At 46.2% G+C, this 17597-nt stretch overlaps 1 long non-coding RNA gene across 1 annotated transcript in view, besides 3 other annotated features; it reads right to left on the bottom strand.

Annotated features, from left to right (window-relative positions):
• Positions 1–6659, bottom strand: part of LOC105376223 (uncharacterized) — a 38343-nt gene extending 31684 nt beyond the window's left edge. The window contains exons 1-2 of the long non-coding RNA XR_930254.3: positions 6532–6659; positions 2454–2517 (exon numbers count right to left, since the gene is read on the bottom strand). This is a non-coding gene — a long non-coding RNA (uncharacterized LOC105376223). The remainder of the gene's footprint in view (positions 1–2453; positions 2518–6531) is intronic.
• Positions 3368–3867: an enhancer, noted in NCBI's record as "H3K4me1 hESC enhancer chr9:116412947-116413446 (GRCh37/hg19 assembly coordinates)". NCBI's record gives its function as "activates a minimal SCP1, AML or CMV promoter by ChIP-STARR-seq in primed H9 embryonic stem cells {active_cell/tissue: H9 hESC(primed)}" and the evidence as "EXISTENCE:reporter gene assay evidence [ECO:0000049][PMID:30033119]".
• Positions 4853–5353: an enhancer, noted in NCBI's record as "H3K4me1 hESC enhancer chr9:116411461-116411961 (GRCh37/hg19 assembly coordinates)". NCBI's record gives its function as "activates a minimal SCP1, AML or CMV promoter by ChIP-STARR-seq in primed H9 embryonic stem cells {active_cell/tissue: H9 hESC(primed)}" and the evidence as "EXISTENCE:reporter gene assay evidence [ECO:0000049][PMID:30033119]".
• Positions 5354–5854: an enhancer, noted in NCBI's record as "H3K4me1 hESC enhancer chr9:116410960-116411460 (GRCh37/hg19 assembly coordinates)". NCBI's record gives its function as "activates a minimal SCP1, AML or CMV promoter by ChIP-STARR-seq in primed H9 embryonic stem cells {active_cell/tissue: H9 hESC(primed)}" and the evidence as "EXISTENCE:reporter gene assay evidence [ECO:0000049][PMID:30033119]".
• Positions 6660–17597: the final 10938 nt, after the last annotated feature.

The raw sequence follows: 17597 nt of genomic DNA, 5'->3' as shown, positions 1-17597 counted from the left end.
ATTTCTCATACAGAGTCAACTCCATGCTGGCTGGGCGTGGCCCCTGGGTACCAGGCCAGGAGGAGAGCAAGGGAAAACTTGGAGCATCTGCAATTGAATGCTTCCACCCAGTGGCCACAGCCAGCTGCGTCCATGCCCAAGGTCAAGGTGGTGGCTTGGTGCTGTCATACCGTGTGCTGGAGGAGGAAGAGGCCCAGGGACATAAAGCAAGCACGGGCGTCCATCTCCCCACCGTGGCATGAATAGAGATGCCTGGGAAGCCACAGTGGGAGCTGGATCTCATTTAGCCAGTTGTCCCAAAAAGACAAGGCCTTGGGCTGGGCAACCTACCTTGGACAGTTGTGTCATTCATGAGCAATTACTCTCTGCCCCGTGCTCCGGGGGTGTTAGGACATTTAATCCTCCCAACAACACTCTTAGGTAGATGCTGATGTTCTGCCCCATTTTACAGATGAGAAAACTGAGTCATAGAAAGGTTAGATAATCTGGCTGAGTCCACCCAGCATGTCAATGCCAGAGTGAGACATCACACCAGGCGTCCCACCTGTGAACCTGTGCCCCTAGCTGCCAAACAGGTGTTGAGAAAGACTGGGATACCCCACAAAGAAAGGCCTGGGGGCCAGGGCAGGGGTGCCAGGGGAGGTGTAGGACGCAGAGGGCTACTGACACAAGTACTTGCAGCTTTGCAGGGAGAGAAAGAGAGGGAAAAGAGGGGTCTTATGAGGAGCAGCTTCTGTGGTAAGCAAAGCTTTGAGTGGAGGTTGGGGAAAGAGGATTGTTAGGACGTTTTTCTGCCACAGGATACAAGTTCTGACTTTGTATTGTAGATTTCAGCAAAGATTATGGCTTTTCCATGCCTTTTTCTTTCACAATTATTTTCTTTTTTTTTCGAGACAGAGTTTTGCACGGTCGCCCAGGCTGGAGTGCAGTGGCATGATCTTGGCTCATTGCAACCTTCGCCTCCCAGGTTCAAGCAGTTCTCCTGCCTCAGCCTCCTGAGTAGCTGGGATTACAGGCACATACCACCCTGCCCAGCTTTTTTTTTTTTTTTTTGTATTTTTAGTAGAGATGGGGTTTCGCCATGTTGGCCAGACTGGTCTTGAACTCCTGACCTCCTGATCTGCCCGTCTTGGCCTCCCAAAGTGCTGGGATTACAGGCGTGAGCCACCATGCCCAGCCTATTTGCATTTGTGTGTGTGTGTGTGTGTGTGTGTGTGTTTTTCTAATTTGGAAGGTTTTCTAATGCACAGAATAGTTGAAAGAATACCCCTATCTGAGATCCACCATTAACATCTTACTGTATCCCCTCCATCGAGCTCTCTCTCTCTCTCTATTTCTCTTCTTCCTCCCGCTCTTTTGCCAAACCATCCAAAATTAAGCTGCAGACATCATGATACTTCACCCCCAGATACCTCTCCATCTCTCAGGACCAAGGTCATCCTCCTACGCAATCTCACACCAGTGCCACACCAGGGATAATCAGCATTGGGCAACATCACCCAACACAAAGTCCACACTCGCATTCCACCAGTTGCTCCAAAACATGCTGCTATTTATTTTTCCAATCCAGGATCCTGTCAAGTGTCATGCATGGCATTTGGCATTTGGCTGGTGTGTACCCCCTCACTCTGCTCCTCATGACACTAAATCTTTTGAACAATCCAGGCCACATGTCCTGCATAATATCCCACGATTCCCAGGTTAGCTTCAGGCCGAACTTTTCCAGCAAGGGCAGCACATCCTGTCAGCCCACATCACATGGACAAGGGCCAGCCTGACTGCTTTGGGGAGGTGCTGGCTGCCCGGCCCTGCCATGCTCAATGCACACCCCGTCTGCAGGGAATACAAAATCTCTGGAGTGATACTTCAAAATTGTGAATATCTTGTTCCCCAACCACTGGCATTCCATGATCTCTTCACATGCACTGATGATTCTCACCTGAATCACTCATCACATTGGAGGTTATGAATGTTGATTTTCTAATTTTTTTAAGACAGGGTCTTGTTCTGTTGTCCAGGCTGGAGTGCAGTGACACAATCATAGCTCACTGCAGCCTCAAATTCCTAGGCTCAAGTCATCCTGCCTCAGCCACCCCAGCAACTGAGACTACAGGTGTGAGCCACCACACCCAGCTAATTTTTAATTTTTTTTCTTAGAGATGGGGTCTTGCTATATTGTCCGGGCTAGTCTCCAACTCCTGGCCTCCAGTGATCCTCCCACCTCGGCCTCCCAATAATTATTTACACAGATAGCAAGAGGAGGCCTGGTTCTTCTGATGCAGAACTATCTGAGACTTGTCTATGGCCCCCCAGTGCTTTCCAGGTCACCCTGATGGCAGGTGGTAGGAGGGTGGGCAGGCTATCATGGTAGAGGAGGCTGGCGCCAGGCCCAGCTCCATCACCAACTGCCTTTGGGGCCCAAGTTGGTCTCAGAACCAGCAGCACTGACTCACCTGGGAGATTGTTGGAAACCCAGGCCTCCGAGTAGGAACCTGCATTCCAATGACTCCAGGGGACCTGTGTGCAAGTGAACAGAGTCCGGTAAGAGGTGGCCTGAGGAACCCCATAAGCCTCTCTGAATTTGAGCCTTTCAAGGTTGAGACCATGAGTCAAACAGGCTCAGGCCCATGTTTTTCAGAAAAGCAGATTCTAATACCCGCCTACACAAGAAGGTGATGAAGGTTATGATGACAACAGCAACAACAACTGCCATTTCTAAGGAAGGAAAACGAGCTTGGACATTTCACCAAGGTTTTTGAAGAGTATGTTTGTAATCAATAAGAAGGGTAGAATTTGTAGAGGAGAGGGCCTGGGGGTCATTAATCAGAAATGTGATGGGTTGGGTTGACCTGTTCCATCACAGGGCCACACAGACCGTCTTCCTAAAGTTTCTGTACTGCAGAAAGAGAATAGCCCACACCAGGGGGTGGGTGGGAAGGAGCAGGGACAGAGGGGATGGGAGGGAACAGGAGGCAGGGTGTGTGGCAGAGCACAGTGAGGCAAAAGCCTGCAATTGCGTTAAGTCTCCTCAGCCTCATGTGTTCACTTCCAAATTCATGTCAAATTCTCCTGTTTCATCATAAATCCATGTTTGTTTCAATATTTTAAAAATGTTTTAAACTGCCATCAGGAGAACATCAATTTCCTACCCTATTCATCCCACGGCTTTGTCCCTCCCCAAAGCAGCCCTGGGCCCCAGGGATTTGTGAAGTTTCCAGCAGAGAGGGACCCAGCAGAGAGGGACCTGTCCACAGCTGCAGGAGGCCTTGGCGGGGTAGGTAGGTGTTCACAGCTGCGGAGAGACAGGGAGGCTCTGATTTGTCCAGAATCTCAACTGGGTGAGATGCTTCTGCTCCACACAATCCTCACCTGTGTCCAGTGTTTTCATCTCCAAGGCTTTTACTGCAACCTCCCCTCCCATCAGGTTTTATACAAGCTCCATGGGCCCTGCTGGCCAGGCATCATGACCATCCCATTCTACAGATGAAAGCGGCTGAGGCACAGAGCAGTGCAGCAGCTCATCTGAGAGTGCATGTCAAGTGACTCAGGTGTTCTGACTTCTGGACCAGTGAGTCTTCCTGCTGGCCTGGCCCGGAAGTCTCATCCCTTCCCCAATGCAGAGGGAGGCATCTTCCAGTAGGACGAGCAGGATGTGGTGTGCTTGCCCAGCAGTGTTGCCAGGGGTGGAGGAGAAAGGTTCCGCCTGCCTGCTCCAGGGTAATCAGAGCCTCAGGAAAGGAGGCTGTTCCGCATCAGGGGTCAAGTGAGAGGAAGGGGAGACTGGGAGAGCTGTAAGTTCTCGAATCCAGGCAGCCCCAGGCTCGCCCATTTTTAGGGCCTGTGGGCCACCCCAGGCTGGGGAGCAGAATGTGCACAGTTTGGGGGTTGGGGAACAGGAGTGACCTTGAAGAGGAGTCAGGTTTCAGCCCAGGCCGAGGATGCTTTCTCACAGTCGCTGGGATGAGACAGGCTGCCTGAGCAAATAGTAAGCTTCCTGTCCGAGAGCTATGCAAGCAGAGACTGGCTGACCTCACCCTCCAACAGGCATGCTGCAGGCAACTTGCAGGCCATGTGTCGCATCGATCCTCAGGACCCCATTCCAATAGGTGAAGCAAGTCTCAATGCTTTGGCCCTTGCCCTCATTTTCGGCTTCTCCATGAGGGGTGGTGGAGGACCCCACCGAAGGCCATGTCTGCTGTCTCTATGTGGTCTGGCAGAGGACATCAGGTCTCACGGAGAGGAGATGACCACAGAACTAGGAATCAGGAAACCCTTCCAACCCCACAGCATTGATCCACGGATGCTGTGTGTCTGAGCAAGTCACTTCACCTCTCTGAGCTGTCCATTCCCTTCCAGGCAGTGAGAATATTGCTCCTCCCACCTCAAAGGGCTGATTTTGGACACCCTCAAGAAATGGATGAGGGACTAGATTTTCAAAGTGTACTCTTGCTATCCCAGAAGACATTGGGATACAATTATCCCCATTTTGCAGATGGAAAAAAAGGAAGCTCAGAGAGGGGAAGCAGCTTGCCGAATGTCACAAAGCATGTCAGAGGCAGATTCCAGACTTGAACTCAGGGCTCCCAATCTCAGTTCAGAGCTGTCTCTCTCAAAAGACCCCACGAGCAGGATCACTGGAGAAAGGCAGGGTCCCCTCCCTCCCTGAAGATGTCAGTTTTGACAGTAACTGGTGAAGGAGCCCTTTGTCTCTGCGGTAGGACTTAGTCTGACAGAACAGGAGGACACTAGCTATCTCTCCCCTCCCTGGAGTGGCAGGGGATTCCCTTCCAGAAAATCTCATGGCTCTGCAACCCACACCCAGGCTAGACAAGAAAGATGCCCACACGTACCTTGCTCTAGGAAGGCTGGGGACCCCTCCCAGATCTGCCCCAATTGTCACTCTAATTGGTATAGCATGTCCACGTTCACAAAATGCTAGGTGACCTTGTGGAAGTCCTTCCGCCCTCACTAGGCCTCAGTTTCCCCATGCATAAGCTGTATCAGAGGTTGGGTGTCAATCTCTCACCACCATTGGCTCAGAACCAGCTCTGGCACACACAACAAAAATGGAGGCTTTGTTTCTTTCTTAAACCAAACAGATTAAAATATTCTGGTCCAAGGCAGCCTCGTGTGAGTCCGGTCCCCACACGGCTCTCACAGTCGGAGCATCCTCCCCAAGCCCGAGGGCTCCAGATGGAAAGGCTCTTCTGGGCAGCGGGCCAAAGGCAGCCCAGGCACATCTGCTTCCACTCAGTGCCCTCAGCCGGCCGCTCTGCCAAGGCCTTGGCCCACAGCCTCTCAGGCTCTCAGGGGCCTGGAGAGAGCGCTGGGTCCCATTATGGGGGAGACAAAGGCCCCTGGCAGGACAACACTTGTAGCTTGCACGTGGCTCTCCCGGCCCTGCACCAGCAGCCAGGCCTGCTCCCAGCCCAGACACCAGGAGGCCAGCCAGGGCAGATGCTTAGTGACTCAGGTGGCAGAAAGAGAGCCCACGAGTGTTTTACGCAGATGCAGGTCCTACAGGGCTGAGGGGCAGGGAGGGAAGGGCAGCCACTCAGAGGTGTGGCTGCTGGAGGGGAGGCTGAGGGGCAACCTGGGCCTGGTGGTGGAGGAAGGTGTTGGTTTTGGCATCAGACCTGAGTTTGAATCCTCGCTCTGCCACCTCCTAGTGGGGCAACCTCAGGCACACCCTTCGCCCTGTCTGGTTTCTCATCTGGAAGACGGGATGATGATGTTACCAAGTCTCACGATCACTGTGAGAATTACGTAAGTCCAGGCATGCAAAATGTCTTACATGTAGTGATGCCAAGCCAATAGTAGTTGCTGTGGTTATTCTTATTATTATTACTACTATAGACATTCGTGTTGGGGAGAATGAAGGAGGTCCCGGTTTTATATCCTGCTCCCAATACATTGCCCCAAACAGCAAGCAGACAGGCATCTAGAAAGATGCCACTACAGCCACAACACAAAGGGACAGAGAAGTCCTATGGGGACTGGGTAGGTGGAAACAGCTGGGAGGTAGAGGCGGGGCCCTGAGGCCTGTCCTGTCCATATCCCACTGTGTAGCCCCAGTCCACCTTGACCTCACAGGGCTTCAGACCTGAGTTCAGGCTCTGACCTGAGTTCTGAGACTCTGGAGGTCTTCACTCAGCAGCATGGTTATAAAATCTATTTTAAGAGTGAAGGACAATGGAGCAAGCCCTGTGGGTCTCCTGGGACAGAATGGCCTGACCCTCTCTACCAGAGCAGTGCGACTTCCCAGCAAGGGCATGGCCACTAGGTCAACAAGCTTTCAGCCAGTCTTGAGAACCTCATTTCTAATGGCAAGGGCAGCCTCAGGGTCTAGGGTTCCTCTGGGGACAGGGGACAGGGGACAGGCTGATGTGGTAGCTGCTTTCTATGAGGCTGCACTTCTGGGATGTGGCACTTAAAGGGAGGGGACTGACCACTCACGGGCACAGTGTCATTCTTTCCCCAAGAATTGTGATGGTTTATTAGTTGACGTAGAAATATTTGCTGAACACTTACTTTGCATTCTGGGACAAAGGTGGTCCAAGCAGAGCAGGGCTGTGGCTGAGAAAAACCAGGGAACAACTGTTGCCCTCAGAATGGTCAGGGAGGGCTCCTCCAAGGAGGCATCAATGCATGAGAAGGCACTAGGTAGAAAGAAGGAGGCAGAGATAAATATACCCCAATTTTTCTCCTTTCTCTGTGTCCAGATCTTTTGCCCAGTGATCTTATAGCTGGTTCTTATCACTAAAAGGGCAGAGTCTAGCACCAGGCGCAGTGACTCATGCCTGTAATCCCAGTACTTTGGGAGGCTGAGACAGGAGAATCACTTGAGCCCAGGAGTTCGAGACCAGCCTGGACAACATACAGAGACCCCCATCTCTAGAAAAAATAATTAGTCAGGCATGGTGGCAAACGCCTGTAGTCTCAGCTCAGGAGGCTGAGACAGGAGGATCGCTTGAGCCCAGGAGGGCAAGGATGCAGTGAGCCATGACTGCACCACTGCACTCCAGCCTGGGCAACAGAGCAGGACCCTGTCTCAAAAAAAAAAAAAAGAGGCAGAGTCTGTTTCCCCACCCTTTACTCTGGCCCTGGCCATGTGGTTTTCTTTGGGCAGTAGGATGTTAGGAAATGACCCACACAGAGGCTGAAAACATGCTTCAGGATTCTGCCTTTTTCCTTGGACTCCTGCCTTCACCCCAGCAGGCCTGCTAGGGAGAAGGAAAGGCACATGGAAGAGAAGCCTGGTTATCTAAGTCACCCCAGCCAAGACTAGCCCAGACCAACCAACTGTCCATCAACCACCAACACGTGAGGGAGCCCAGCCGAGATCAAGATCCACAGAACCACCTGCTCCACCCGCAGCTGCCTGCAAATGCTTGAGTGAACTAGCCAAGACCAACCGAGATCCACCAGTGCCACCAAATCGGCAGAGCTGCCCAGCCCACCCACCGCCTCCCAAGAAACCACAAATGGTTGTTGTTTCAAGTCACTAGGTTTTGGAGTGTTTTGTTACCCAGCAGTTAACTGAGACTGATAACTGATACAGGGGGAGGGCATTCCAAGCAGTGGGAACAGCAATTGCTCAGAGATAAGAAAGAGCTGGGTGAGTTGTGAGAAACTGAAAAGAAGGCCAGCATAACTGGAATGCAGTGAAGGACCAGGAGGGAGAGAGAAAATGAGATCCCGGAGGTGAACGGGAGTCAGATCACGCAGGGCCTTGAAGGCCATTGAAAGGGCTTGGACATTTTTTAAGTACAGTGAAAGCCAGCGGTAGGTTTTAAGAACATAGTGGAGCCAGGCAGCAGGAGGCAGGGGCCAGGGCAGGGAAACCAGTGCAGGCATTTGATGCAATTAACTTTAAACCTCCGTCTGGCCACCCTCGGGGGATGGATTAGAAGGACCAGGAGCAGAAATGGAAAGACCAGTTATGGGGCTCTCCCCTTTGCAAAACAGGTCTCAGGCACTGTTCACACCAACCCTGCAAAGTGTACATATGGGGAAACCGAGGCTGAGGGAAGGGGAGCAAATTGCCCATGGTCATACAGTGAATCCCATGGCAAGGGTAAGATTGGGACCCTGGGCTCCTGATTTCTAGTCCAGAATTTTCTCTCCTGTTCCCCTTGGGCTTTACCAAGGAGCCAGAGGAAAGAGGTTCACCCCCACCCCGACGCTCACACACTATGCCTCTAATGCCGTCTGCCATCTCTCCATCCAACCACCTCTCTGCCCATTTCTAACACTGGATGAAATTTCTTCTTCCCCACACTATCCTCAGTCCCCTCAGACTTTCATCTCTGGTGCTTAGGGCTGATTTGGGTTTAACTGTGATTCTTTCTGTCTTGAACAGCTTCCTAACTAACCATTCACTGCAAGGCACCCTCCACCCAGCTGCCAGAGGGATCCTTCTGGCTCTGCTCCAGAATTCTCCATGCCTGCCATTGCCTTCAGAATAAAGTCCAATCTCCCTAGCCTGGCAATCGAGTACCTCCGCGATTGGGCCACCTCTCCAGCTTGAAGAGCATGAACTCTACAGTTGGATTGTCTGGGATTCAAACTCCACTCTATTTGTGGGACAGGAAGCAATCTCCTAGACTCTCTGAGCCTCTACTTCCTTGAAGCTAAAATGGGTACAGCAATAGGACTCATCTTGCCCAATCATGGTAAGAACTGACTCACCTGCCTGCCGGTACCTGGCTTGTAACAAGGGCTCAGTGAATGGCTGCCCTGTCGCCGCTGCCCTCCCTGGCAGGGTCAGTTCTCATGAAACTGCACTCTGCGGGGGGTCCCTTCAGTCACCAGCATTCATGTTGTGTTTCTGTTTCCACCATCATGAAGGTGAGAGTCAGGAACTTTGGTCCTATAGAGCAGCAGTCCCCAACTTTTTGGCACCAGGGACGTTTCGTGGAAGACAATTTTTCCACAGACAGGAGATGGGGATGGGGAGGGATGGTTTTGGGATGAAACTGTTCCACCTCAGATCATCAGGCATTAGTTAGATTCCCATAAGGCGTGCAGCCTAGATCCCTCGCATGCGCAGTCCACAACAGGGTTCGCAATCCTATGAGCATCTAAGGGCTCTGCTGATCTAACAGGAGGCGGGGCTCTAGCAGTAAAGCTCACTCACCCGCAGCTCACCTCCTGCTGTGCCTCCCGGCTCCTAACAGGCCACAGACTGGTACCAGGGGTTAGGGACCCCTGCTATAGAGGACAAGAAGTTTAGATTTCCCAGGTTCGTGAGTCTCAGAGTTTGTGAATATTTTATCTGTGCACACGCATGGTAACCTCCTTGAGAACCAGACCCACATCTAGTGGGGGTGTGACCTGTTCACTCACCCAAGCAGGGGGCCTCAAAACCAGGCTTGCCTCCAAGCCCTCCCAGCTCACCTGGCTAGGCCACCCTTCTCCATAAGATCATTCCATGGGTCTCATGGCCCTTTCCTGCCCTGGAGACTCAGATGGAACCACCTTATCCACCCTGCAACTGAAGCAGATCCTGTAGTTAATTGAGAAATCCTTCCAATGACCTCCTTAATCAGGCAGAGTACTATACTATCTTCTAAAGGCTTTTTACCCAAGTAGTCATCCCTGCTCTGTACCTACTCAATTTGCAAGAGATCTAAGGGAGTGACTATCTACACCGGAACCCCAAAGACCGAAGCCTTCTGGCTCTACCTTCTGATTAATAGCCTGATTAAGAAGGCCATTCAAGGTATTCTCAGTTAACTGAGGGATCTGCTTCAAGATGATTTTATGATCCCACTTCTCTTGATTAAAAAAAAACTAATGAGTCTCTGCCTTCTCAGGTACCCTATTACATCTGGATCATCTGATTTTTCTTGTAATATACACAATCTCGTTTGTGTAAGAACACATTATAAAAATGATTTAAACCATCAGTAAGAATATCAGCAGTGCTATCAACCAACTGAACTTAATTGACATTTAAGGAATGCTCCACCCAACAACAGCAGAATACACATTATCCAAGCACACATGGAGCATTCACTAAGACAGATCACATGCTGGGCCATAAAAAAGTCTCAACAATTTTTAAGAGATTGAATTATGCAGAGTATGACCTCTGGCTACAACAGAATTAAACTGGAAATCAGTAACGGAAAGATATTTTGAAAATTTCTAAATATTTGGAAATTAAAGTCATTATAAATAACACATGGATCAAATAAGAAATCACAAGGCAAATAAGAAACATTTTGAACCAAATAAAAATGAAAACACTGTATATTAAAATGAGTGGGATGTAGCTAAGAGAGTGCCTGAAGGGAAATGCATAGCTTTAAATGTTTATATTAGAAAAAAGATAGGGTTAAAATCAATAATGTAAGCTCCCACCTGAAGAAGCTTAAAAAAGAAGAGTAAATAAACCCAAAAGAAGGAGAAGGGAGGAATTATTAGTGAATAGAAATCAATGAACTAGAAGGAGAGAAAACAAATGGAGTAAATCTATAAAACCAAAAGATGGAAAAAAATAATAAATCTCTAACCAGACTGATCAAGGCAAAAAAAAAAAAAGAATAAAGACACAATTACCAATATCAGGAACTCAAAAGGTACATCAACATAGATCCTAGCAGGATAATAAGGGGATTTTACAAATAGCTTTTTCCCAAAAAATTTGACAACTCAGTGAAATGGAAAAGTTTCTTGAAAGACAGAAATTACCAAAACTTAACTTAAAAAGAAATAGAAAATCTGAAAACTTCTATATCTATTATGGAATTGGATTTGTAATTAAAAGTTGCAAACAAAACAAATTCCAGACTTAGATGGCTTAATGATAAATTCTATCAGACATTTAAGGAAAAATAACACAAATATTATACAAACTCTTTCAAAATGAGTTGGAGAATTTTCCAACTCATTTTGTGAGGTCAGCATTCCCATGACACCAAAACTAGACAAAGACAATGCAAGAAAAAGAAGGAAGGAAGGAAAGAAGGCAGGGAGAGAAGAAGGAACCACAAAACAATGTTCCTCATAACCAGAGAGGCAAAAATGTTTATATTTTAGCAAACTGAATCCAGAAGTGTATAAAATGACTGACTACATTTATCCCAGGAACACAAAATTGGTTTGACATTTGAAAATCAATTAATATTAATCACAATATTGGATAGAATAAATGAGAAGAGCCATATAATTATTTCAATAAATTCAGGAAAAAAATGACAGAACTCAACGGTCATGCATGATTTGAAACTCTCAGCAAGCCTGAAATAGAAGAAAATTCTTCAATTTGACAAAAAGTATCTATTAAAAACCTCATGTAAAAATCATATTTAATGGTGAAGATTTCTTTCTCACTAAAACTGGTAACAAGTCAAAATATCCATTCTCACCACTTAGATTCTATACCATACAGGAGGCACTAACCAATGCAATAAAGCATGAAACAGAAATAAAATACACAATCCCAGCAAAATACATACATATGGGATGAGACAGAGTAAAACAATATTTTAAAATGAAAACACAAGCCCCATAATTGTATACATAGAAAATCCTAAGAAATCTAATAAAAAGCAACTAGAACTAATGAGTGAGTTTAGCACAGTTCCAAGATATAAAGTCAATGTTCAAAACTGAATTGTATTTCTATGTACTGGTAATGAACACTTAAATATTGAATTTACAAAATACCATTTACAGACGTGTCCAAAAAACATGATATATATAATGATATATTTAACAAAATATATGTAATACTCTAGGAGAAAAACTATAAAACATCACTGAGTGATATTAAGGAACTCCCAAAGAAATGGAGAGATAATATATTCTTTGATTGAAAGCCTCAATATTGTTAAAATTGATCTATATATTCTCCCCCAAATTGATCTACAGATTCAACGCAATCCCAATCAACACTTAGCAGGCTTTTTTTTTTTTTTTTTGGTAGAAATTGACCAGATGATTATAAAATGTATATGGAAAACCAAAACACCTAGAATAAAATAAGTTGAAAAAGAAGAACAAATTTAAAGGACTTAAACCACCTGATTTCAAGCCAATTATAAATCTACAGTACTTAACGCAGTGTGCTACCGGCAAAAGGATTGACATAAAGATTAATGGAACAGATTAGAGAGACCTAAAATAGACCCAAGCATACACAGTCAATTGACTTTGACAAAAATGCCAAGGTAATTCAATGGAGGGAAAGATGGACTTTTCAATCAATGGTGCTAGAACAACTAGATATCAATATGGAAACAAAATGAACCTGACCTTCACCTCCTATTATACACAAAAATTAATGTGAATCGATCATAGAACTAGACATAAAAAAACAAAATTATTAAATTTCTAGAAGAAAACATAGGAGAAAATCTTTTTGACCTTGGATTAGGCAAAGATGTCTTTAGATCTGACACAAAATTCACTAACCATAAAAGGAAAAAATTATATAAGTTGAACTTCATCAAAATCTGAAGTGCTGCTCTTTGAAGATGTTAAGAAAATGAAAAGGCAAGCTACCAACAATACAAGATTCTGAGAAAGGACTTGTGTCCAGAATATATAAATAACTCCCTCAACTCAGTAATAATAAGAAAATCCCATTTTTAACATATTTGAACAGATACTTTACCAGAAAAGTATACAAATAGACAATAAGCACATAAGATGCTTAACGTCATTTGTCATTACAGTCATTAGACAAATACCAAAAAAAAATGACAGTGAGATGGCAGGACACACACACACCAGAATGGCTATAATTAAAATGAATGACAGTATCAAGTGCAGACAGGATGTAGGGCAACTGGAATTCTCATATGTTGCCGGTAAGTATGTAAAATGATACTTTGAGAACCGGTGAATAGTTGCTTTGAAAGTTAAGCATTCATTTACCACATAATCCAGCAATTCCACTCCTAAGCATTTACCGTAGAGCAGCCATGTCCAACTCTTTGAATGCAAGGACTTTTTTGCTTATCTGTGGTAGTGGATATAATGAAAATTATGCATAGAATTTTTTTTAAGCTCATCAGCTATCGTTAGTATTAGTGTATTTCATGTGTGGCCCAAGACAATTCTTCTTCTTCCAGTGTGGCCCAGGGAAGCCAAAAGGTTGGACACCCCTGCCCTAGAGCAATAAAAACATGCGCCCACATAAAGACTTGTCCACATAAAAACTTGTCCACAAATGCTCATAGTAGCTTTATTCATAATACAGTACTCTCAAACTGGAAATAATCCAATGTCAATGAAACAGTGACTGTATAAGCAAACTGTGATATAGCCATACAATGTACTGCACAGTCAAAGAAATGAGCTACTGATATACACATGAATGAATCTCAAAAACATTGTACTGGCTAAAAGAAGCCAGAAACAAAATATCATCGGCTGTATGATGCCACTCACATGAAACACTATAAAAGGCAAATCTAGTCTATTGTAACAGAAAGCTGATCCATGTGGACCCAGGCCAGGGGTGGGAGGTATTGACAGGGTGAGTTATGAGAGAATTTTTAGAGGAGATGACAATTTTCTATATTTTGATCATGGTGGTGGTTACATAGACCTATAGATTTGTCAAAACACATTAAAACATGCATTCAAATGGATACATTTTATTGCCTGTAAAACTGTATCTCATTAAGATTCCCTTTTAAAAAGTAAACAAAACGTTTGTGGAAGGCAAGCAAGACTGTAGAATTAAGTTTAATCCTATAGCATTTACTAAGGACCTACAATGTGTCAAGTTCCTGGGAAAAACACGTCATGGGAAAGATAAATATAGTCCTGCTTTCAAGAAACTTGCAGCAGAGTCGCTGCTGTGGAGGTTGGTATCATAGAAGGTTAATAAGTAGAGTCCTGTCCTGTACGGAAGTTGGTTCTAAGGTCAGCACTAGGGCCGGGCATGGTGGCTCACACCTGTAACCCCAGCACTTTGGGAGACCAAGGCGGGCAGATCACTTGAGGGCAGAAGTTCAAGACCAGCCTGGCTAACATAGCAAAAACCCATCTCTGCTAAAAATACAAAAATTAACCATGCATGGTGGTGCACTCCTGTAATCCCAGCTACTCAGGAGGCTGAGACACAAAAATCACTTAAACTTGGGAGGCGGAGGTTGCAGTGAGCTGAGATCAAGCCACTGCACTCCAGCCTGAGCGACAGAGTGAGACTCTGTCTTGAATAAATAAAATCAGCATAAAAGGAGAACACTGGGCACCATTAAAATTATCCCTGAAAATTCTTTATGGAATTTCGCCATGTTGAAGCCCAACATTCTATAACATCTCTCACTATGTCCATCACAGCCAGCCTTTCCCCAGCACGGATCTGACTGCAGTTTCTTTGGTTGAATGCAAGATGGTTGGCTTACTGGGGCCTTGTCACGCACACAAGTGCACGCACCCACATTTGTGGGTTTTTTTCTCTTTTTTTTTTTTTTTTTGAGACGGAGTCTTGCTCTGTTGCCAAGCTGGAGTGCAGTGGCACAGTCTCAGCTCACTGCAACCTCTGCCTCCCAGGTTCAAGCGATTATCCTGCCTCAGCCTCCTGAGTAGCTAGAACCACAGGCTCGCGCCATCATGCCCATCTAATTTTTGTATGTTGGCCAGGATGGTCTCAATCTCTTGACCTCGTGATCCGCCCGCCTCTGCCTCCCAAAGTGCTGGGATTACAGGCATAAGCCACCGTGCCCGGCCTTTTTTCTCTTTTTTTCTGAGACAGGGTCTCACTATGTCGCCCAGGCTGGAGTGCAGTGGTACAGTCTCAGCTCACTGCAACCTCGACCACCCAGGCTCAAGCAACCCTCCTGCCTCAGCCCCCCAAGTAGCTGGGACTACAGGCATATGCCACCATGCCCAGCTAATCTTTGGTATTTTGATAGAGACAGGTTTTGCCATTTTGCCCTGGCTGATCTCAAACTCCCGAGCTCAAACAATCCTCCTGCTTCAGCCTCTCAAAGTGCTGGGATTACAGGTGTGAGCCGCGGTGCCCAGCAGCACACGTGTTTTTAAACACTAGATCCACACTCAGTCTGGAAAGATGGCACCTCGGAACTAACACCTCCAGGAAGAATGGAAGAATGATAGACTCTGGTCTCCAATCTCGCACTCACTCCAGGCCATACATTCCCTGGGTGGAGTGGAGGACGGAACCATCCACAGCATTGACCATGTTCAGATTCTCTCCTATTCTCATTCTCTCGCTCTCACTCTTTGAAACCTCTTAGATGATTGTAGAGCGTGTCCTCCACACCACTCAGCAAGGAAGGAAGGCCTTGGGGTGCAGAAATGACGTGATGCCATTGTCCCAGCCCTGGGTGTGCTTACTGTGGCAAAGCTATGGTAAGTTGCGATGTTGGTGCAAGAATGAACACACCATCCAATGAGACAGAATCCAGAAGCAGACCCACACATACCCCAGCAGGGCTGGGGATGCTGGAGCCAGATGCAATCAGAGTTGATTTATGACAACTGTGATGTGGTGGGGAAAGGATAGTGTTTCAACAAATGATGCTGAGTATGGATGGAGGCAGACACATAAACATCCATGATCCAAGGCTAAATGCTGCAAAGGATGAAGGCAGAGAGTTCAGGGATGAAGAGAGGGCTGCGTGTGCATGTGCGTGTGTGTGTGTGTGTGTGTGTGTGTGTGTGTCGCTAGAACTTGAAAGATACAATCTAAAATGTATATGGAAACTCAAAGGGCCAAGACGCTCTTGAAGAAGAATAACAACATAGAAGACTTGCCCTACCAGCTGTTTAGACTTAGCATAGCACAGGGTATCGTAAATTAAAGCTACGGTAAGCTGTGATGTTGGTGCAAGAATGAACACACCGTCCAATGAGACAGAATCCAGAAGCAGACCCAGGCATAGATGGACACATGATTTATGACAATTGTGATGTGGTGGGAAAAGGATAGTGCTTCAACAAATGATGCTGAGTCTATCGGATATCCATATGGCAGGGAAAAAATGAACCTTGACCCCTACTACACGCCACAAAAAAAAAACCCACTGCAGATCTAAATATAAAAAGTTACCATAAAGCTTTTAAAAGATATTATGAACTTGAGGTAGGAAAGGATTTCTTAAAAACCATGAAGCATAAAGGAAAAATTTGATACGTTTATTACATTAAATGTTTATATGCCTGATCACCAGAAAGTGCAATTAAGAAAGTGAAAAGGCATCATTGGGTGCAGTGGCTCACACCTCTAATCCCAACACTTTGGGAGGACAAGGCGGGAGGATCGCTTGAGCCCACGAGTTTGAGACCAACCTGGGCAACACAGGGTGACCCCATCTCTACAAAGAATAAGAAAAATTAGCTGGGTATGGTGGCATGTGTTGTAGTCCCAGCTACTTGAGAGGATGATAGGGGAGGATCACTTGAACCTGAGAGTCTGAGTCCACCAGCCTGGCCAACATACCAAGATCCCATCTCTAAAAAATTTAATAAAAATAAATAAGTAAATAAAAAGAATTTTTAATGGGTAAAATTAAACTCTGTGGTTTAGGAATGCCTATGTAGATGCAAACCTATAAAATAAAGCAAAAAAAATTATCAAAAATCAACTAACTCTAGTAGAGACAGAAAGGTGCACTGGGGGTTCTAGTTGCTGATAATGTTCTATATCTTGACCTGGGTGTTAGTTAGGTGGGTGTTTGCTTTAAAATTATTTGTTAAACTATACACATATGTTTATACCCTTTTCTCTCTATATGAAATATTTCAAAATAAAAATATCATAAAATATAACATAAAAGAAAATGCTGGGAGATGCGCACTTGAGAGGAAAACTAAATGTGCCCGAGGCAATCAAGGAAGACTTCATGGAAGAGGGAGTTCCTTCCTGCATACTGAGAGTCCTCCACATGCTAGACCCTGGGATGACAAAGGTAACCAAATACAGGCTCCCTGTCCCCATGGAATTTACATTCCAGGAAGGGAGACAGGCAGGAATCAAATAAACATGCTGTAAATGCTTAAATTGCAGACCGAAATAATGGCCGTATGGATCTGTTCTTACACTGCTATAAAGAAATACCTGAGCTTGGGTAATTTATAAAGAAAAGAGGTTTAATTGGCTCACAGTTCCACAGGCTGTGTAGGAAGCATAGCAGCGTCTGCTTCTGGGGAGGCCTCAGGAAACTTACAATCATGGCGGAAGGCAAAGGAGGAGCCAGGACCTCACACGGCCAGGGCAGAAGGAAGAGGGAGTGGGGAGGTGCCTCACACTTTTCAATGACCATATCTCAGGAGAACTCACTATCACGAGAACAGCACCAAGGGGGAATTCTGCCTTCATGAGCCAATCATCTCCCACCAGGCCCCACCTCCAACATTGGGGATTATAATTCAACATGAGATTTGGGTGGGGACACAGACCCAAATCATATCAGTGGCCTTGCCTGTAAAGTCCATGGGCCCTCACTCTGTATATGCTGGAGATGCCGTCTGAGCTGAGATTTGAGGGGTAGGCATGGGTTGCTCAGAATGGTGAGTGGGAGGGGGCAGAGGGTGCAGCACCCAGTAAAGGTCTTCAGGAGGGCAGGAGCTTTGCTGCGTCCCGTCAACCCACAGCTGCCGAAAGGTCA

Source organism: Homo sapiens, chromosome 9, assembly GCF_000001405.40.
Source record: "Homo sapiens chromosome 9, GRCh38.p14 Primary Assembly".
Taxonomy (NCBI): Eukaryota; Metazoa; Chordata; class Mammalia; order Primates; family Hominidae; genus Homo; species Homo sapiens.
The sequence above is the reverse complement of the archived record's forward strand: the minus strand, read 5'-3'. Positions and strand labels throughout refer to the sequence as shown.